This window comes from Homo sapiens, chromosome 7 (genome assembly GCF_000001405.40).
Source record: "Homo sapiens chromosome 7, GRCh38.p14 Primary Assembly".
NCBI classification, from domain to species: Eukaryota; Metazoa; Chordata; class Mammalia; order Primates; family Hominidae; genus Homo; species Homo sapiens.
In genome coordinates, this window is record NC_000007.14 from 119,932,562 (window position 1) to 119,955,464 (window position 22,903).

Consider the following 22,903-nt stretch of genomic DNA (forward strand, 5'->3'; position numbering starts at 1 on the left):
ATGCCATATAGATTAATTTGCAGAATTATTGTAATGTTAATATATCTAGGCCGTTGTCTAGACTAATTAAAAAAAATGAGGGGGACAAAAGGAAATTTAAATTAGCTAGAATAACAGAAATGTAACAATAATGATTATGTCCAGTTTGATTAAATCTTGAAAAATTCAACTTAGTTTGCTTGTTTGTTAGATTTATTACTAAGTTATACAAGGCAGTAAAGGGTATTAGAAAATAACTTAATTCTATCATATGCCTAATTATATTAGCTACTCTTATCCACTATATAATGATTAATATTCACTGATAGTTGTTTTAGATTAATGACTAAGTGAATTTATGTCTGTTCAACATAATCGATGCTATACAACACATAACATTTATGTTAACATTTGAATCATATTAATAGTTATCAATGGAATTAATAGCATTTTTCTTATAATTAGAACATGCAAAAGCTCCTTCCTTGCTTATAGGAAAGCATTATCAAACCAATAGCTTGTCATTAACAATGTTAAATATATAAAATATTAATAATATATAGCAAATTGTTTACATGATAATTTTTTTTCATTTGAAGCAACATAGTGTTTGCCATTTGAATGATATTAAAATACAAAAAATGCTAAAAATAAGCAGTATAAAAAAGGTTTGTACTTAAGGAAAAATGCAAAATTTGAAAAATGCTGTTTCAGGCAAAGATTGGGATAAAGAAAAGGATGAAAAATATATAAGCTAAAATCTAGAAATCCCTTGGCAAAGAAAGACAGGCTCAATATTTAAATAAATCAGGAATAAACACAACTTGTCACAAACAAGTGACAAGGATAGAATTCAGCAAAAAATTTTCATTATGTCTAAAAAAATAATAAATACAGTCTAATAATTTAAGAGCATATTTCAGTCCTTCTTAAGCTTTAGTCAAATACATATGGTTTTAAGTGTCTTCTTGGTTTTACATTCAGAAGCACTTCTCTTCTATAAAACATGCTTGTTTATGCATATAAATACATATTTTTAAGAACTTATGGCGACATGTGTTCAAATATCGAATAGTTAATATATACATATATTTCAAAAAGAATTGCACTGAGAGATTTAAATTACTTTAAAATCGTCATGCTTACTGGAAGTATTGGGCATTTAAGTCAATCTGTAATTTTTTATGGTAATATAATTAGTATAGAAAGTTTTTAGGTGCAATGAGAACTTGTATTGAAGAGCACTATAATATAATAAGGTGTCTTTTCACCTATGTATTTAATACCATGTGCATGAGTTATATATTTAATGTCATATGCATATCGGTTTTACTATCTATTTGAAAAATAATTATGCTTTTAGGTGGCATATTTGCCAAGATTCTTTTCATTTTGGCATTTCTAATCATCCTGGAGTTTTTAATGTATAAAAATTATTTTTCTTTCATGTTGTAGATTACATTCAAATGGTATCTTGAACTAAATTATTAACAATAATGGGCATTTATGGAGATATCACTCATACATGAAATAAAATAGATTATTTTAGTCTTGCCATATCAGCACTGGTACTTATTCAAAACCATTATGCTTTTTCCTCCTATTAAAATTGATTACTTTGAATTTGAAATTGAGTATTTAAAGACTTAAAGAGGAAGGGCAGCAATATTCTTGATTATGCCACGGGGTGAGGGATTCAGTCCTGAAGGAAAATACTGAAGTTTCTCTATAGTTAATATCTCATCATGGAAAGTAAAAGCACTTGAAATTTTTGGACCAGGATGCAGAGAAACACAAAACATTTGCCAAAGATATAAGCAAAGCTTATTACAAGGTTGGGTTCATTGATAGTATTCACATTAATTTCTGCTGCAGAAAATAAGAGTGTCTTGAGAGCAAGGGCAAAGTTGCCTCATAAGGAGTTTTTCTTTTATTGTGTGAAAACTGCTTCAATACTCAAAGCTTAAGGGCATTTTGCTCTGGCATCACTTTGAAAATGCTTCCTTCTGCTTCAGTTACCAGAGGACGCCTAAGCTGATCTTGAAAGTGTTTACAGACATTGTTCTCATGTTCACAATTTATCAAATGCTTTTGGTGCATTACTAGAGATCTAGGCAACCTTTCAGTGCAAAGGACCATGAAACTACTCTTTCCCTAAGTTTTATAATAGCTTCATTATCTTTATTTAATGTTTGTGTAACTAATGAACCCCTAAAAATAAAACCATAAAATAGCATGATTGATCATTTGACTTAATGAGTTAATATAACAGAGATTATAGATCCAAATGAAGATTGCAGTTTTGCCAATAACTTCTAAAGAATTTTTGAAGTGATCTTCAAATCATGTCAAATATCCTTTATCCATCTTTATTGGTGGTAAATTTTGCTTTTGGAAAGAGTTGCACTAAATTAGGGGTCAAACTAGTGAATAAGTAAACAATTAAATAATTACATTTCAGTGAAAAAAATAGATTATAAGCTAAGAGGTGTATTTCCATATCTGTTGCAGGTCTGTATTCTGTCGCTGAAGAGAGTGAGGATAATTCAGATGACCCTGAGCGCCAAACAACTCAACGGTGTAAAAATAAGGCACAACCCCTGGAACTTTATAATACAAGTCATAACACAAATGAGACCTGGGTCATAAAGACCCAAAAGGAAATCAAAGAGTAGTCACAGCCCTGTGTTTGTTGCCAAATAATGTGTAAACCTTCTATTAAAAATGCTCAGTGAGTAGTTGTATTGAAATGAATTGGATTGAGACAAAACAGTATTTTCTCTCCAGAGAGAAAATTAGTATTGATTCACTTTCTCCTTGAATTATTTTCTATTAAGAAATGTATAGACAAATAAGATAAATTATCTCTTTTTGCTTATAAAATATTGTATTGGAACTCCTCATCCAGATGAATACTAAGGGGATCTTTCATAGTTCTTAAGATAAAGATTATTTTCACTCTCTAGGTTTCCACGGTATTCATTTGGGTCTATTTATGTCATTAGAGTACCCTTCTTGTTTTTACCCAAAGTCCGTATCATAAATGACTGTTAGATGTTCTGTGAAGAATACCACAAGATGGCAGTATTTCGGAAATGAATCCTTAGATTACTTCTGTATCCTATCTAAAATAACATAATAGCTTTGGTTATATTTTTAGGGACTAAAAATATTCAGTTGTCATTTCAAGTGATTAAGAATTAATGATAGTATAAAATCTGTTTAGTAATAAGTTGTTTCCTTTAAGTAATATAACTATCAGTTTGATTGTTCCAAAACATTAGTAAGCTTCATCAACATATAAATGAGTTGAAGCTAGAGAATTGTCAGTAGATTCATAAATCTCATAATTGCTTACATGTTGGTCTATAACTATAACCATACTTTTAAATTGTTTGAAAAAATAACTCATCCTAAAAGACGTCAATTATATTTTGTTTCTGCATGATTGTTTAATAACCAGTTTTAGAACAAGAAATATAAATTAGCAATTACACATATTAAGTACATCATTTATATTTTTCAAAACAGTTCAGGTTTGGATATCATCGAGCTTCTCAATTTTAATTACTCTCATAAAACTCCAAAATGTTGCTTTTAAAAGAGAATATGGTTTTAACCAAAGAAAATGCTTTCATTTCAGATTTATAAGTATGTAAAATGCAGAGGGTAGAAGGCAGAAGGGTAGCAAATAGCTTTGAAATAAAAACTGTTATTCTCTTAATGCCTGATTTTAATTTCCAATTATCTGCTCAAAATTTTTAGAAAAAAATATTGCTACAGAATAGTCTAATAGTTGATAGAGCTACATCTGGGTGATGCTAATTATTTTTCTGGTGCCAAGACTCCTAGCTGTTGAAAAGTTACCAAAACTCATGGAAATATAATCCCAATATTTTAAATATTGTAAAAGTAGTACCTGTTTCTTAATACCCATCAATATTTAATAGAATATTTCATAATGCAGAACTTGACTTAGGAAGAAAACAAACCCCAAAATTTCTATTTGTCAGTGAAAGCTATTTTTAACCAAAGAAAAGAGAAGATATAAAAATGTATTTTCTAAAATAGTATTGCCACTGAGTTATAACAACTTGAATAAATTTCATTGAATAAACTGTAAACTATTTTGTGATGTCTTGCCAGAGGTAGTACTGTGTTTCTTTTGTTTGTTTGTTTCAATTACTTTACCTCTCTGTTTGCATTAGTTATAATTATCGATATAAATACATGTTAAAAGTTTCAATTTTGAGTACAGCTGTGTAATCTGCTGCAATGTTAACCCAAGTACAGAGTTTGCATGCTTGCTAGGGTTTTGTTCCATGATATGATGTAATAACCTCTCTATTGTCCCTAATTTATCCCAGCAGTCATCCCTTGTGCTAAAATTGGTTGTATAATATGAATACCTTGAGGTTTGTATTCAGAAAATGCTAGTTAAAAGTGTACCCCTCTGAGTAAGATACAGTTAAACTACAAACATCTGGGAAGATGTAATCAGAAAAAAAGTTTAATACTACAAGATAGAGCATATCATGTACAGTGCGTCATACTTATTGGTGCAGATGTTACTCATTAAGCAGATGTCATACTTAACATACATGATTTTCTCCGCCCTAAAAAAACTAGTAGTTATCCATCATGAAAGAGATGCACAGGGTAAATTAGATCCTTAGAACAAAGAGCTGAATATCCCAAATAAAGACATTAGACATTTTTAGTACATATCAAAGGGAAGCAAGCATTCTGCCATTCTTTCAGTATTTTATTATTAAAATTTAACAAGCATGAAGAAGTTTGAAGACATTTTGAGAATTTTGTGCTGATAATTAAACACTCACTTTTTAGATTTGACAATTAAATTTTTATACATATTATACATCTTTCCACCTTTCCATTTCTGTAATGATCAGTCAATATACCTTATTGTGTATTTCAAATTAAGTTGTTGATACCCATATACTTTCTTCCAAATATTTAAGCATGCATATTATCAACTAATGTTTAATATTTGTAAACTGCTTAGGTAAATTTTATACACAACTGAATGCACAGATCTTAATTGTAGATGTCTCAGATATTCTGGCCAATGCATTCACCTGTGAAATCCAAACATTTAACAAAATGTAAAATGTTACCATCGCCTGAGAAATTTCCCTCTTGCTCTTTCAAAGTCAATACACATTCTCACCACCCCAAGAACAATGATGATTCTTTTGAATTTTCTCTACCATAAATCAATTTTGCTTTTTCCAGAAACTGAGAAAAATAGAAATAAACATTATGGTAAACATTATGTGTTATTCTATATAATGGTTTTTCATTCAACATAATATTTTTGAAATTAATATTTGTTGCTGCCTAAATATTTTATTCTTTTTTATTGCGTAATAGTATTCCATTGTATGAATATGCAGCAGATTTTTAAAAATCTATTTCCACACTGAATGACTTTCTGCTGTTTCCGGTTTGGAATGAAGCAATTATGAATAAATCAGCTTTGTTTTTTCACGTTTTTTAAAATTTTTATTCCCCTGAGCAAATATCAGAAACTGAAATTGTCAAGAAGAGGTATGCTAAGATTATAAGAAACTATCAGGCTTTTCGCCAAAAGTTAAGATGCTGAATTCAGGTCCAGCTAAGACGTCATAGATTCATTTCTCCCTGTTCCTCCCCTTTAAGTACGATATAAAACCTGTGAATAATGCAAGAAGTAACCAAAAGAACTCTGCAAGGTGGTAAGGGAAAGGCAAAGTGGTTTGGAATACCAAGACTGAAGAAAGAACACAGTGCTAGGATGTTGTATGTGTCTCCACTAATAGAAGGGGAAGACTAGGTCTGGCATTTCCCAGTTCCCAGCCTAGGAAGAGCAGGCAGTACAGATTGCCTTATTCTTTCCTCTTACCCAACGAAAGTCATCTGACAACAAGCAGTATTGTATCACCATCAAGGAAAATCAGAACCTATTACCAACAAGCAACCATAGGAAGTACTCTCTTTTCCTGCTAGATCTGAACCTCCCCTCCTCCCCAGCCACCCCTTCCCCTATGGCCTTCCCTCATTGAGAGATACCACAGCAGCCAGGCAGCAGAGTAAAAAGAGACTAGACCAAAGCAACTGGAGAAATATGCTGGATCCATAGATTGGAACACTAATTATGATTATGGTGTTGATTCTTTCAGGCATAATTAATGGATTCAATGCCATTTCAGTCCAAATTCCAGCAAGTTACACTATAGATATTGACAAACTGATTCTAAACAAGATTCTAAACTGTAAAAATGCTTATCTATGTACAGCAAAATGAATATATATATATATCTTATATGTCTCATAAAAATGAGCTCAAATACACAATAGACCTAAATATAAAAATGAAAACCACAAAAACCTCTGCAAGGTGACATAGGAGCAAATCTCGGCGACAATGTGTTTGGTGATAACTTTTTAGATATAACACCAGAAACACTATCCATGAAAGGAAAAATTGATGTTAGGCTTCATTAAAATTTAAAAAATTTTTGTTCTGCAAAAGACAGTAGTAAGAGATTGAAAAGACAAGCCACAGACTGCAAGAAAATCTTTGCAAAACACATAGGTGATAAAGGCCTGGCATCAAAAACATACAAAGACCTCCAAACTCAACAATGAGAAACAAACAATCCAATTTAAAAATGGGCAAAATGTCTAAACAGATACATCATCAAAGAAGATATCATTTTTCTTCTAGGATTGCAAATTAAAACAGCAATGCCATAATAACCTACTAGAATGGTGGCTGGACTGGAGATAGAGTGGGGGTTGGAGGGGTTGGAAGTGTGGCCGTAAGGGCAGCATAAGGAAACCTTGTGCGGATGTGAATGTTCCGTATTTTGACCATATCAATGCCAATATACTAATTGTGACCGTGTACTATAGTTGTAAAAGATGTTACCAATGCAAAAACTGGTTAAAGTGTTCATAGGATCTCTCTACTTTTTTTTACTTACAACTGTATGTAAATGTATAATTTTATAATTAAATATGTATTTATTTTTAAACATATGGACCACAGTAATTCAAAACAATTTGTAAAAGACCTTTCCTTTTCCATTTGAATTGTTTTGATTTATTTATTGAAAATCAAATGATTGTATAAGTGTAGGTCTATTTCTGGTCTTTTTCTTCCATTGATCTATTTGTCGATCTCATGTAAGTAACACACTCATTATGCTAAATGTATAATAATTCTTGATGTCTAGTAGTGCAAGTCCTTCAAATTTGTTCTTCTTTATAAAGCTGGATTTGAACTTTCTAAGTCCTCTGCATTTCCATATTTTAATGGGGGAATATCAATTTCTTAAAACAAACCTAGTGTTATAATGCCTGAGACTTTTTATAGATCAATTTGGGAGAAATGGCATCTTAAATCTTCCAATCCATAAATATGAAAATATTCCCAATAACACTTAATTTCTCTCCACAGGGCTTTGTATCATTCAGCATAGTAGTTTTACTCCAATTTATTCCTAAACTTATTTTCTGGAGCTACGATGAATTACTTTTTTATTTTCAAATTGTTCATGCTACTATATAAGAATTTACCTAATCTAAAACTTTGTTATATTTACTTATTATTCATTTAGAGTAGTTCTTCTTTAGGTCACTTAAGGTTTTCTATGAAAGCAATTATGTCATCTGCAATTGTCCACTGCTGTAAAGGCTAGGACCTTCAGTAAAATGTTGAATAGAAATGGCAAAAAACAGATGTCTTTCTCCTGTTCTTGAGATTAGAGGGAAATATTTATTATTTTATCATTAAGTATAATTTTATTTGTATAAATTCCAAATAACATTTTTAATTGTCTTCAATAGTTATAGTATATTTTCTTCTATACTTAATTTTCTGAATATTTTAACCTAAACTGATGTTGAATTTTTTCAAGTGATTTTGCTTCATTTATTAAATGATTATATAGCTTTTCATCTTTATTCTGTGTATCTGGTAGTTAGATAGGTTTACTTTTTAATTTAAAACTCTTTTTATGTTCTTGGAAGAAATTTCTGTCATGGTCTACAATTATTTTTATATACTGTAAAATTAATGTTTTAAATATTTTGATAGAATTTTTCTATATTCATGATAGATACTAGTCCATAATTTTCCTCTTCATTTGTAATATCTTTGTGAGTTAGTATTAGGTATATGGTATCTTCAGAATAAGTTTAATGATGCTTACTCCTCTTTTATTTTTAAAATACATGTGTGTCTTCTTATTTATTAAATATTTGACACAAATTACAAATTGCTGTAAATTGTTGTTTCCCTCTTTTCAAAAATCATTATTTTGCATTGCCTAATGGACAATGTCTGAAAACCTTGATTTCATGTGTTTACGCCCGTATTTTTTGTTGTTTCAGTCAGGATTGTAAATTCCATCCGTAATACTTCACTTCGTCAGGAGCAGATATCCTTGTTTGCATTTTTTTTCTCTTTTAACTAGCTAATAGGCTTTTTTCTGTGCTTTTTTCCACTAGCTGGTAGATTTTTCCCCCTTTCTGGTAAAGTTGGAAATAAAGCCTGGAGCTAAAGCTTACATGAGCATACTGTTAATGCATGAGACTTCAATTTAGGGAAATCTTGTGTAAAATAAATAAGCAAGTGAGGAAGAAATGGAGCAAAAACAAATTCATGAAAGTATCTTGCACAATTTGCCAAAGATTTTCTCTGGTTGCTCAGACACATGAGATATCTCTGCAGAGGCTATAAGTAAACACTTTCTTGCTAGTGGTCCATCAAAGAGAAAAAAGGTGAATGCTTTATAGGATAGCTCTTTCCAATATCCTGTAACCTTATGGCCAAGTCTGCTCCTCAAAATATTATTCCTTCTGTGCTGATGTTGTAGTATTCAGTGGTGTCATGTAATTGCTGAGGAAGCTGCAAACTTAGTGGACCCAGTTGGATCAGAACTGGGTTGCTGGAGTTGCAGAATGTGTGACTGAGATTAAACCACAGCCTATCCCTTGCCTCCAGGTACAGCTGAGACAATCAGCAATAGAAGGATATAAAGTCAGTGCAATAGGGATCTAGGACCCCAGAAGTGATGTAAGTCTGTGTGACAGCAGCTCTGGCCAATAAAATAGACAAGGAGTTTAGGCCCCTTGGTCTGATGTGATGAAACAGGTCTGGAGTGGCAGATAAAATGAATCTGCTACAGTACTTGAACAACTCCTCCCTTAAACTTTAGAAAAATAATAGGTAAGGAGTATTTGGAAGTATTAATTAGATATGTAAAACAATGGAAGTAAAAAATTATTATTTAATATTTTAATTTGCAGATACTGCTCCTATCTATCATTTATATAGGTATATATGTGCATATATATATGACTTTTCATTCTTAATTAAGATTTTTTAATTACTTCTCTCAGAGAAGTTAGAATAGAGAGATATAGATATATAGATATAATGTTTTCATAAGTAGTTTCTGCCATTTATTTCAAAGTAAATTTCTAAATCTGGTGATCAGCCTTAATTTGTTTTTTTGTCTGCCTTTCAGCACTTGTTTTATCTACCTTGGGTCTAGATGCCATTCCTTTTGAAAGTAATGGTATAAAAAGCCACACACACCAAGCTGTTATGAGCTATAAAATTTGAAAAGAGCTAAAATCTGTGTTGTGTCTAGGAGTAAATATTTGCTGTTGATTCCCTTTAATGGTCACCTAGAGATCCCATCAAAGATATATGTAATAGCAAATATGAGGTTGCCAGATAATAAACCCTGGAATTCTGAATAGAATGGAAGAATAAGTCTCGACTAGGAAATAAAGATGGATTCTTAGAATTATTTCTTGCTGGGTCTCTTTAGTCACCCTACCTCTGGAAAATAAATAGGCTTATATGTAGAAAGATAAGTGAAAAGTGAGATTTAAAAGTTAAGAGGTGTTCTTATGTAAAATACATTTTTGAGTATTATTTCATAAAAATAATTTATAAATAAACAATATTTTACTTAAATATAATTTCAAATTAGAGTTTGAGAAGATAAACAATGGAAATTATTTAAAAGACATATCCTAGGTTTAAAATAGATGGAGGAGACAGATTTTCAGTACCTTATTAGGAGAAAATGGTCATAGCAAAAAATTATAATCCGGTGGATAGAAGACAAAAAAAAATTGAGCTCTAAGATTAATTCTAACTATATGCTTAATAATGGAAATGTTATATTTTCATATTGTGAAAGTGAAATATGACCCTTAACAAAACCTAACTTGGAAAATAGTTACTTTAAATATCTAACTTCTGGTCTGATATTTCTTGAAAAATAAGACTTCATCGTCATTAAAGGAAGCTAGTAATTAAATTAAGCTCTTGATTAGAAAACATAAGTGCAGAAAAATTAAGTGTTAATTTAACATTTATACAATTATTGAAAAAATAAATTCAAATGTTGATGCTTCTGACTTAACATCTAGCTCCAGTATTATTTCCTACATGAAACCTGTTTTTACTTCCCAAATTAGACATTTATCCTTGCTCTTCAATGCTCATTTAATTGTTACCCATTTATGAAATTATCTTTTTTTTTTTTCTTGAGACATTGTCTCGCTCTGTCACCCAGGCTGTAGTGCAGTGACACAATCGTAGCTCACTGCAGCCTAGATCTCCAGGCTCAAGTGGTCCTCCCAGCTCAGCCCCGAATGAAATTGTCTTTCATTAATCTATTCACAACAAATATTAAGCTCCACAACAGGATAAAAGTTGACAAATATTTTGAATGTTTACTCTATGCCAGGGATTTTACTAGCCACTGTGATTTTAAAAAGACGCAGCCATTTCCTTAATAGAATTTCCAGCCCTGTCATAAAAAAATAGAATTAAGTAAATAATAAACATTAAAATAGGTGAAAACAAAATGGGTTAAATTTTCCTACATAAAAGTCACTTGACTTTTCACAGATTGGTTATTTGACAATTTTAAATTACTAAAATAAAATGGGAAGTAATATATATCACTATGATAAAGTATGTCTCTCTTCAGTAAATGTCAATTGAAATAGCAAAAGGCACAGTTGCTTTAATGGTGTATATCAGTATTTATTTGAGCAATTCCTTTATTAAAGTTATGTGTTTTATGCACATGTGCATGTGCAAACATAATATTCATGAAAATTTATATTTCTTTTACAAAATGAAAACCATTTAACTCACATGAAGATTAACAAACAGAATCCAACTAGCAATTCATCATGCCCCCTCTATTGACTCACCACTCCAACAGTAACTACTATTTTGACCTGTAATGCTGTAAATTATTTTTGCTTGTTTTTGAAGTTTATATATAGACAACCATACATGATATACACTTGTGTCTGGCTTCTTTCAGTCAACACTACTTTTGTGAATTTCAGTCTCTGTATTAGTCTGTTTTCACACGGCGATAAAGAACTACCTGAGACTGGGTTATTTATGAAGAAAAGAGGTTTAACTGACTCACAGTTCTCCAGACTTCACAGGAAGCATCACTGGGAGGCCTCAGGAAACTTATGATCATGGTGGGAAGCGAAGGGGAAGCAAAGCTTATCTTCTCATGGCAGCAAGAAAGAGAGAGAAAAAAATGGGGAGTGCCACACACATTAAAAAAAAAAAAAAACAGATCTCAATAAAACTCCCTCACTATCACAAGAACAACAAGGGGAAAGTCTGCCCCCAATTCAGTCTCCTCCCACCAGGCCCCTCCTCCAATGCACAGGGATTACCATTCAAGATGAGATTGGGTGGGGGCTCAGAGCCAAACCACATCAGTCATAAAAACATGTTCAATTTGTTTCGTTGCATTGTTCTCTAGTATTGCATGATCTAAAATATACCACACTGTAATAATCCATTCTCCTAGTGATGAATATCTGAATTGCACCCAATCTTCAGCTATTAAGAAAATTGCTGCTATTAGCATATATGCTAGTGGATATGTATTTATATTCGGCACATAGCTAGAAGAATTACTGGGTTCTTATAAATGACTCAAAGTTAAAAGTAATACTCTCAGGTTTGGGATGCTAAATGATAAGATACTAAGGCCAAGAAAAATGATCAATCCAACACACATGCAGATACTTAATGAGAACAATATTGACATTTATTTTTCTTCAACCAGCCAAGTAGGTTTTGAGCCAGTGGAAAGAGAAAAACGCTATAGGGGCCTACTATCTTGTCAGAAACAGTCTGCCACTGCTTGAGCCACTGCTATGTCAAGAAGTGTGACCTCTGTTAGCAAGATATTCTTTCTATGACTTGCAGAAAGAGGTTGAAGTATCCTAATGATATGTTGCCTCAGTCTGAAAAAGTTTTTCAGTATTCTTCATCAGGAATGCTCCATAAGTGATGATCAATGACAGTTTGGTTGGATGGGCCTTAATGCTAAAACTTGCACTTTGAGCAGCCAAGTGTCTAAGCACAAACTTTATCAATGTTCAGCGCTATTCCAAAATTTCTTTCCAAAGCAATCATCTTGTTTACATTACTTATTTTATGGTAAAAACTTGTTTTTAATTTTTTAAAACTTTTCTCAAAACAACATGTTCAAACACAAGCTTTACAGAAATATGTTTATACTATTTCTTAAAAACATGTTTACAATTTGGTAAGGTAGAATGAAAACACTTTCAACACAGATTTATTTGGATGGAGGAGGAGAATTTCTTTTTAGATTCATATACAAATCATGAGATTCACAAGCCATTTCTGGGAAGTTTCATCTATATTTTCTTGATTCTCACATGTCCACATCATGATTCCATATCTTGGTCACTATTTAAAAGTTTAGTATGCCTTTCTTAATAATTTATGAGTAATAAATTTCTGTTGTACATATATTATCTACATAGTTTTCATAATAGTTGCATTTCCTGGATTTCCATGGATGCAGAGATGTACCTTGTACAGTAATTATACCAGTGCTTCTTAAAAAGTGTACCTATAAGTCATATGTTGTGCAGAGTCTGGAAGGATGTTATAATATTCAAAATATTTCTGATTTTTAAAAAGTGCTTTTACATGGGCCAGGTTATATAATTTGGATAATTTTAGCTCAAGTATCAGTTTAGTTCAGATTGCCCATAGTTTTGAGAGTTATATTATTATTGCCATTTTCTTGATGTATTGGGTATTCTGCTCCTTCTTGATGCTGAATCCCCTACAATTGACCAGCCTAAGTTTGGTTTTGTTGTTCATCTGTTAAATAAATTTGCAAGTTTATATCTGATGAGTGAAATACAGTCAAGTAATTACATCTTTTCTAATTATTCATTAGTGAACTGTACATCTAGGCTATACCAAGTTTGCTTTCTGTAACATTTACTTCTAAGGGTAATATCTGACATGCCTCCTCAAAATCTATAGTGTTATTCTCAGGTTTCATAAAGTAATAGCTTGCTCCTAACATATGCCAAAGTTTTCTAGAACTCTATCATCTATTTTTGTTGAGGCGGCTCTTTTTAATATTACATAGTCATTATTTGAAGATTTGAAACAAATATCATAAATATTCTTGGCCTTAAAATAGATAAAAGAGTAGAGGAATATTATGGTAGTCTTGAGCAAAGCATGAGTTATGAGCTTCATAATTGAATGCATTAATCAAATATTTTCATAATGTGTTCTTACAACAGGGTAGAATGGCTTTAGTATTAATACTATATTTTCCATGGCATGATCTGTTTTTCTACAGCTACTCAGCTTACTCAGCTTATTCAGGGACTTCTCTGGCTATTACCTCCCCAGATATCACATATAATTTTTGTCTTTTTCCACAATTTATACATATATTTAGAATTATGCCTACTTTTCCTAATTTTTAAGGTGGATCTTTTCTAGGAGAAAAGTGGGGAATAATAATACTGTAGAAGGTAAATTTATCTTTTTTTATATATTCTTATTCACTTGAATATATATTATTATAATAATAATCACTTGAATATATTGTAGAAGGTAAATTTATCTCTTTTATATTTTCTTATTCACTTGAAATCTCACAGTTCTTATATCAGTTTTCCATTAATTATTTTGAAACTATTTTTCTCTGTATATCTGTTTTTAGTAGTCTATCCCTCTTTTCTACCATTTTCTTTGTAGTTAGAGGGTACATGTTACTTCTACCTGACATTATTTCTGCCCAGATCTGAATTACCATAGCTTTGAAATAAATCCGTAGATCTGACTGGAGACCTCCACTTTCATCAAATGCTGACCTCCGAATTATTAATTCCTTTGAAGTGGATTTGAAATAATTATTATATACTAGGTAGTGCATCCCTGCTTCTGAGGACATGTCCACTATACTTAAGCAATTTTATCTTCATTTAGAATGTGGTAAGAGTTCTTGTTACATTTTTAAAATTCATCTTTATTAATTTTAGCTTGAATATACACATAGGGTACTCTGTAGGTATCAGAGACAGAATCTATGTTTATTCAATTTAAAAAAGCAAATAATAAAAATGTGTTTTCTTATATCCCTATTCTTATCCCTGGGGTGACTTACTGAAAACCAAGTCAAATATCTTATACAAAGTCTGCAACATAGGCATTGAACAGAGGAAAATGAATTTTATCTGCTTATTTATAGGAGAAAGAGGTCTGCCTCCCATTCCCTTCCCAGAAGGAGAAAGCAAAACCTTTGGTTTTGGAAACGTTGGAAAGATAGGATGGAAAGGATCCTGGGTTCTCACTCTAATTTTGGGGACTGTAAATACATCTCACAAAGAGCAAGAGAAAACCTTAGCATATGCAGTTTTAAGATCTAGAGATGCCTTCTAGGTCTTGCCTTCATTTTGCCTTGAAATGGAAGCACATACCTCTGGAGTTAAATAAATCTCCCAAGTTCTCTCACTATCTTTGCAGTTGTAAATTAACTTCCTAAGGCTTGATCTTAAGAATGTAATTACATTTTCTGTCAATTTTGCCGATATTTGTAGTATACATTATCCTCTCTATTTTGTAGGCTGGCAATTATTAGCTTTTTTTCTTAACTATTTCTTATTTTCTGCCTTGATCATGATATTATCAATAAAATATTCTACTATTATTTCTTCCTTTGAAGTCTGATTTAAATTCTATATAGATTGTTTGCTATTACCAGACTATAAGGTAACCTAGTAACTGTGTTAAAGGCCCCTTTCTTTGTGAAGGCCAAGTGGGGAAGACTTTCCTATGTTACTAGTAATGCAAACTCTATATTAAATTATTAACATGCATTTTTAGGGGCTGTTTAAAATCTCATGTGTTATTTTTTGCTGTGAAGCAGCCCTGCAATTTTAGTGACATTTTCCATTTAAATTCCTAACATCGACAATAAATCTCTATTCTTCCAATAGAGATTGGAAGACTGGCCCAATGGAGAGTTACATGGAAATATTATTTGCCTAATAAGGTTTTAGTCTAAAAGATATTGTATTATTGTTATACCTTCTAATCCTCCTGTAATGTTATATTGACAAGTATTTACAATTTGGTCAATGTAAAGTATTTCAAGATTTCACTTAGTTTTATCTCTTTTATGAGCTCTGTTAAATTGTGTTTGTTTCCAATTTTCCTGAGTTTTTTTTCTTCAAATAGTATTCATTCCTATTACGCATTCATAAATTGGTGCTTTTTACAATGTTATAGTTTCTTAACGACTATACTAAAAATTGTCTCCATTGTTCCATTTCCTAGTTACTGCTTTTCAGGAAGTCTCATTTTTATGTTTTATTTTTATTCTCAATGACTTGCTTGCTCTAGAATTATTATTACTTGTATGTCTATTCAATATATTATTGTTTGATTTTCTTCTTTATCACTTTAGGAATTATATGTAACAGATGTGGTTGTATAGACAGAATTGTCATCTGATGTGACCAAAATCTGAGACTCCCAGGTATATAGGTCATATATTTCCTAATCTGAGGGTTTATTTAGATCGGTTCCAGTCCTGAACTCTATAGTGCACTGCATTTTTTTTTTCTACTTTGTGTTTTTGTTTTGTTCTCGCTGTTTTTTTAATCTGGGTTTTGGTTACAATCTACAATCCTTGGTTTCTCTGCCAGGACTTTTACATTGTTTTTTCAGATTATCTGAATCATAGCAGTGTTTTTGTGTTAGTGGCATAAAGTTTTTTCAGTTAGGGCATTTTCTTGTTTTCACTCCCTCTTTTGTCCACTATGTTATTTATCATTTTTATTATATCTAAATATTATTTTATACTATCTATCGGTAACACACTTATTTTGCTTTTAGAAATGCAGCTATCCATTGCGAATTTCAAGATATTTTTCTCTACATTTCTTTTTTTGCCATTATATTCATTTTAGTTAATTTTATTTTAAGCTTAGGGGTACATGTGCTGGTTTGTTACATAGGTATACTTGTGTCATGGGGGTTTGCTGTACAGATTATTTCATCACCCAGGTATTAAGCCTAGTACCCATTAGTTATTTTTCCTGATCCTCTCCTTCTTTCCACCCTCCACCCTCAACCCTCCAAAAGGTCTCATTGTGTGTTGTTACTGTCTATGTGTCCATGTGTTTTCATCATTTAGCTTCCCAGTCAGGGCCTTTAGCCACTCCTGTGGATGTTCTGTGACCTACAGAGATTTGAAAACTCCCTGAGATGAAACTCCCAGAGGAAGGAGCGAGCCACCATATTTGCTGTTTGAGTGACTTAGCAGCTCCAGCCTTGGGGCTTTGGAGAGGCGAAGCCGACCAGGTGGTGGAAGCGGTACCCTAGAACAGCACAATGACCCCACAAAATGTGGCCAGACTGCTTTTTTAAGCGGGACCCCAATCTCATTCCTCATCACTATGTGGAGCCTCCCAACTGGGGTCTCTGACTACCACAACTTGTGTTCTCAGGCTGACAGAGGCTTCAGGTCTCCTTGGGACATAACTCCCAAGAGGAGGGGCAGGCCACCCTCTTTATGTTTCTTCACAGACAATGGCTGAACACGTATGTGCACACACACACATACATATCTGTGTGTATGAATAAACGTATATTTTTTATATTTAATTTTAACTGCATAATATTTACCCTGTGCCATATTCTCAGTCATTCAGAAGGCATCTATCAATTCCTCAATTTTTTTCTATAGGAGCTATAATGCTATGTAACTTAGTTTTGTTTCTTAGTATAGTTCTCATTGCTGTCTTTTTAATTTGTTCTGTTTCTTCTACACACAGAGGTCCTTTATACCTTTCTGGTTGTGACTACTATATCCATTCCATCGTTCCAATGTGGTTATTAATTCAGTGGCTACTGTTATGATTATTAATGGCTTCGTTAGGCCCTGGCCATCAATGTTTCCATTGTTTGAATACATACCTCAGTAGAGACCTGATATTATTTTTGTGCATGACTATTGATTTAATTTTTAATTATATCCATCACCTCTAGTTTTACTTCTTGATCTGTTAGAAAACCAGTATCGTCTTCTTTTAAATATTAAGTAGGAGTCATGGAACTTTGAATTTTCCTGACTCATGGCAGAATCCTTTCCTTGAAATTTATAGATTTGCCCTAACGTATGCTCTCATTCCTAAGACTTTTGTTTTGGGGACTTCTTTTGCTTTTGATGTTTTCTTTCAAATAATTGTCCTAGCTGCCAGAAACCCATCCTCATCATCCTTTATCCCAGGTAGACAACTCATAGAATTACGATCACATAAGTAATCATTTGGTAGACAGTTAAGTTCTTATATTTCAGCTACATTTCCTGTCCTACCTTCCTGTCTGTCAACACTGTGCCGGTGTGTCCGGAATTGGTGGGTTCTTGGTCTCACTGACTTCAAGAATGCAGCCGCGGACCCTCGCGGTGAGTGTTACAGCTCTTAAGGTGGCGCGTCTGGAGTTTGTTCCTTCTGATGTTCAGATGTGTTCGGAGTTTCTTCCTTCTGGTGGGTTCGTGGTCTCGCTGGCTCAGGAGCGAAGCTGCAGACCTTCGCGGTGAGTGTTACAGCTCTTAAGGTAGAGCGTCTGGAGTTGTTCGTTCCTCCCGGTGGGCTCGTGGTCTCACTGGGCTCAGGAGCGAAGCTGCACATCTTCGCGGTGAGTGTTATAGGTCTTAAGGCAGAGCCTCTGGAGTTGTTCGTTCCTCCCGGTGGGCTCGTGGTCTCGCTGGGCTCAGGAGTGAAGCTGCAGATCTTCGCCGTGAGTGTTACAGCTCATAAAAGCAGCGTGGACCCAAAGAGTGAGCAGTAGCAAGATTTATTGTAAAAAGCGAAAGAACAAAGCTTCCACAGTGTGGAAGGGGACCCGAGCGGGTTGCCAATGCTGGCTCCCGCAGCCTGCGTTTATTCTCTTATCTGGCCCCACCCACGTCCTGCTGATTGGTAGAGCCCAGTGGCCTGTTTTGACAGGGCGCTGACTGGTGCGTTTACAATCCCTGAGCTAGATACATAGGTTCTCCATGTCCCCATCAGATAGTTAGATACAGAGTATGGACACAAAGGTTCTCCAAGGCCCCACCAGAGCAGCTAGATACAGAGTGTCGATTGGTGCACTCACAAACCCTGAGCTAGACACAGGGTGCTGATTGGTGTGTTTACAAACCTTGAGCTAGATACAGAGTGCCAATTGGTGTATTTACAATCCCTGAGCTAGACATAAAGGTTCTCCAAGGCCCCACCAGAGCAGCTAGATACAGTGTCCATTGGTGCACTCACAAACCTTGAGCTAAACACAGGGTGCTGATTGGTGTATTTACAATCCCTGAGCTAGACATAAAGGTTCTCCAAGGCCCCACCAGAGCAGCTAGATACAGAGTGTCGATTGGTGCACTCACAAACCTTGAGCTAAACACAGGGTGCTGATTGGTATATTTACAATCCCTGAGCTAGACATAAAGACTCTCCACGTCCCCACCAGACTCAGGAGCCCAGCTGGCTTCACCTAGTGGATCCCACACTGGGGGTGCAGGTGGAGCTGCCTGCCAGTCCCGCGCTGTGCGCTCGCACTCCTCAGCCCTTGGGTGGTCGATGGGACTGGGCGCCTTGGAGCAGGGGGTGGTGCTCGTCGGGGAGGCTCGGGCCGCACAGGAGCCCATGGAGTGGGTGGGAGGCTCAGGCATGGCGGGCTGCAGGTCCCGAGCCCTGCCCCGCGGGAAGGCAGCTAAGGCTCGGTGAGAAATCGAGCGCAGCGCCGGTGGGCTGGCACTGCTGGGGGACCCACTAAACTCTCTGCAGCCACTGGCCTGGGTGCTAAGTCCCTCATTGCCCGGGGCCAGCAGGGCTGGTCGGCTGCTCCGAGTGCGGGACGCGCCAAGCCCCCGCCCACCCGGAACTCCAGCTGGCCCGCAAGGGCCTCACGCAGCCCCGGTTCCCGCTCGCGCCTCTCCTTCCACACCTCCCTGCAAGCTGAGGGAGTGGGCTCCAGCCTTGCCAGCCCAGAAAGGGGCTCCCACAGTGCAGTGGTGGGCTGAAGGGCTCCTCAAATGCCGCCAAAGTGGGAGCCCAGGCAGAGGAGGTGCCGAGAGCAAGCGAGGGCTCTGAGGACTTCCAGCACGCTGTCACCTCTCACCGGGTTTCTAGGTTTAGGTTTAGCAAATCAAAAGGCAGGGAACATAAAAAGATATCACTGATGACAAGCACATACTCATTTAGTGCAATATTCACATTTATTTTCATTCAACAACCTGAGGAAGAGAGTTAAGAACGAGAAGGAACAGAATTTGAGACACTACATCATCAGGAGTGGTCATCCTCTCACTGCCTTTGAATCACAGATACCTTTGAATCACAACAGAAATAATACTGAACCCCACTACCAATATTTTCTTTTTCCTGACTGAAAAGGACATTGAAATAGATTTACAGTTAGCATTTTACCATTTGCAGAATATCTGATTCTTCATGAGACACATAGAGAAATTAATGTTTGGTGCTTGATTCTCAGTGACAGTATGACTGACCAGGCTAGTGTTAAAACCTTTACTAAGGGCCTGGGGGGTTTTAGGAGCGAGGGATCATTGCATAGAGCCTTATTACTGCTTCCTCAAGCTTTCTTTCCAGTGTAAACCTCTTGTTTACACCAGGTAAAAACATGTTTTTCACTTTTAAAATCTTCTCAAAAACAACATGTTCAAAAACAAGTTTTAAATAAATATGTTTATTACATTACCTAAAAACAATGTTTTCACTTTGACAAAGTAAGATGGAAACACTGCCAAACAAGTTGCACATTTTAGGGCACAGGGAAATGAATCATGCTTCATTCATTTTCATGCAAATTATGTACATTACATGTATGCATATGTTTAGCTACAGTAAGTAAAATAAGTGGCACACAGTTTCCTAAAGTGGTTATACCAATCTACCCGGCCAACTCCGCATATGAGAGATCCAGCTGCTCCATTTTCAAATCAAGACATAGTATTTCTATTTTTCAGTTTCTTAGTTACAATGGTATGTGATGATATAAAATATTTTAATTGCAATATCTTGATTACCAATAATGCTGAATATCTTTCTTTTACGTTTATTTGTGAAGTGTTTGCTTTGCCGATTTTTCTATTTGGGTTTTGTATTTGTCTGTTTTGCTTATTGATTTGAGGAAGTTCTTTCAATACTGTTGATACAAATTCATTGTAATTCAGCTGTTTATAGAATCTTGTGAAATTATTCAAGTCATTTCAATAATTTGAGACTCATTTTATTTCCCAGAAAAAGGACCATTTTGGTAAGTGTTTCTGTGTACTTGTAAAAGGCATATTCAGAGTTGTTAGTTTCAGCATTCTAGATATGTAAACTATGTCTTGTTTTTGAATTTTGTTGTTAAATATTCTATATAATTACTGACTTTTTAATACTTGCTCTATCTGCTAGCAAGTTTCAACATGTTACAGTCTGATACTATAATTGAGCATTTGGTATTTTATTTTCAGATCTTTTTAATCTAATATTTTTTCCATTATATTTAAAGCTTATGATTTGTATGTATGTGTATGGTTCCATTTTGGTTTTCTTGTTATTCAAATATAAAAATTGTTGTCTTCTAGTGGAATACGTATACTTTCAATGTATACATTGCTATATTTGAGTTTTTGTTTGCCATCACTCATTTATTTTCTTATTTGACCCACCTATTTAATAACGTCATCTTCCTCTTCTTCAAGTAAAACTCTGACATTAGTAAAACCATGTATGTCATCATATTGCTGTGGAGACTAAATGAAATAAGCATAGGGTATATTTAGCAGACTCTGATTCATTTAGTCTTCATCATAATATTATACATCATATTACTAATGTTAGAGTTTCAATTGGACAAGATGAAAAAGTTCTAGAGGTAAATGGTGGGGATAGTTGTATAACAATCTGAATGTACTTAATGCCACAGAACTGTATATTGTCGTATGGTTAAAATGGTAAATTTCATGTTAATATGTTTTATCACAATAAAAATTTGGAAGTAAGGCAAATAACTAAATAACTAGCCCAGGATCACATACCTTGTGCTGTATTAAAACTGGAATTTAATCTTATATCTATCTGACTCAAAAAAATGCATATTCTTAACTGATATGGTGCACTTTGATATCATTTAAAATGGTATTTATGTAAATTACAGCCCCCAGTGAAATAGGTTGTATTTAGAATGATATAATTTCTACTAAAAAAACTGAAAAATAGAAATGTTCTGCAAAAGGAGACAATGCTGTTGTGTAATGAAAAAATACCTCAATTGCCATATAATTAAAATCTTGACTAGATATTTGTTCTAGGGAAAATAACTTAATTTTCCAGGGCCTCAGATTCTTGATCTATAAAAGTAGGAAAACACTTTTACTAATTACTATGTACACCTTATATGACAGTTAAATTCAACAACTGATGGTTCATATTCGCTTAAAGATATATTAACTAGAAAAGCTGACACTAGTAGTTGATTGCTTAAATGTATAATGATTGGTTATTGTGTTTGTACTAAATTATGTTAATTAATGTTGGGCTCATAAAACAATGCCCCAAAATATGATGCTTTGGCTTTCTGAGTGCCTTTGATTAAAGAAAATTGAAAGGCATCTGAAATAAGCCCCAAAACCAAGGTCTCTCTACAACCTTTCCCCAGCACCCTGTATCTCTGATCTTCTTTCTTTCCCAAAGTGCTGGAAAGGATTTGCTCTGGAGTTTTCTTAACTGGCTAGAGAAGCTTCATTCCAAAAGAAATGCTAGCGTCTTAAAACCCCTTCCCCAGGTATCTCATCAAATAACCAGGAAAGTTTAACCATTAGAAAAGAGGAGAGACTGGGAGACATCACCATGCACAGAAAGAATTTACACTAATTCTTCTGAGGGTAGCTCTGAGTGGTTGCCTGGAAGACTTATCTGAAGCATAGGACAACCTTTGTTCACAGTGAAGTTCCACCCTTTACCACCACCTCCCATAGAACTCAGAGACACTTTGTCCCAGGCTATTGTTCTTTGGGTTCATTCAATTCCATCTGAAAATAATCGACTCCTGTAACCCCTCATTTTCCCTTCCCTTATAAAGATGGATATATAAGCATCTAGATCTCATTAAGTTATTAGGTAATTATTTTCCTGAGATTCCCACATGCTTATGTGTATTAAATAAATTTGGTTTGTCTTTTTCTCCTATTAATCTGCCTTTTGTCAGTTCAGCTTCAGCAAACCTTCAGTAGGCAGAGAGGAAATTTCCCTCTGGCCCTACACTAAACTAAACATGTAGTTTAAAGGTTTAATTTTAAAAAATACAAGGAATGCGTTTGAGATTTTTTTATATGCTAAAGGAAAAAAAGGTTTTTTTTTATTTTTCTATATATTCCGAAATCAAAGGTACATGTAAAAATATTGGTAGACCTAATGGAAGATATGGCCTCAGTTCTTACTCTGTGCCCAAATGTCGGCAATTCTTCAATACAGAAATTCACATTTGATAAAATATTTC

At 34.2% G+C, this 22,903-nt stretch overlaps 2 annotated features.

Annotated features, from left to right (window-relative positions):
- Window positions 12,034–12,328: a silencer, noted in NCBI's record as "tiled region #12085; HepG2 Repressive non-DNase unmatched - State 24:Quies". NCBI's record gives its function as "represses a minimal TATA promoter and a strong SV40 promoter by Sharpr-MPRA in HepG2 cells {active_cell/tissue: HepG2}" and the evidence as "EXISTENCE:reporter gene assay evidence [ECO:0000049][PMID:27701403]".
- Window positions 18,807–18,950: a silencer, noted in NCBI's record as "fragment chr7:119591422-119591565 (GRCh37/hg19 assembly coordinates)". NCBI's record gives its function as "represses an EF-1alpha promoter that drives an FKBP-Casp9 reporter gene in an ReSE screen in phorbol 12-myristate 13-acetate-treated (for megakaryocytic differentiation) K562 erythroleukemia cells {active_cell/tissue: K562(+PMA)}" and the evidence as "EXISTENCE:reporter gene assay evidence [ECO:0000049][PMID:32094911]".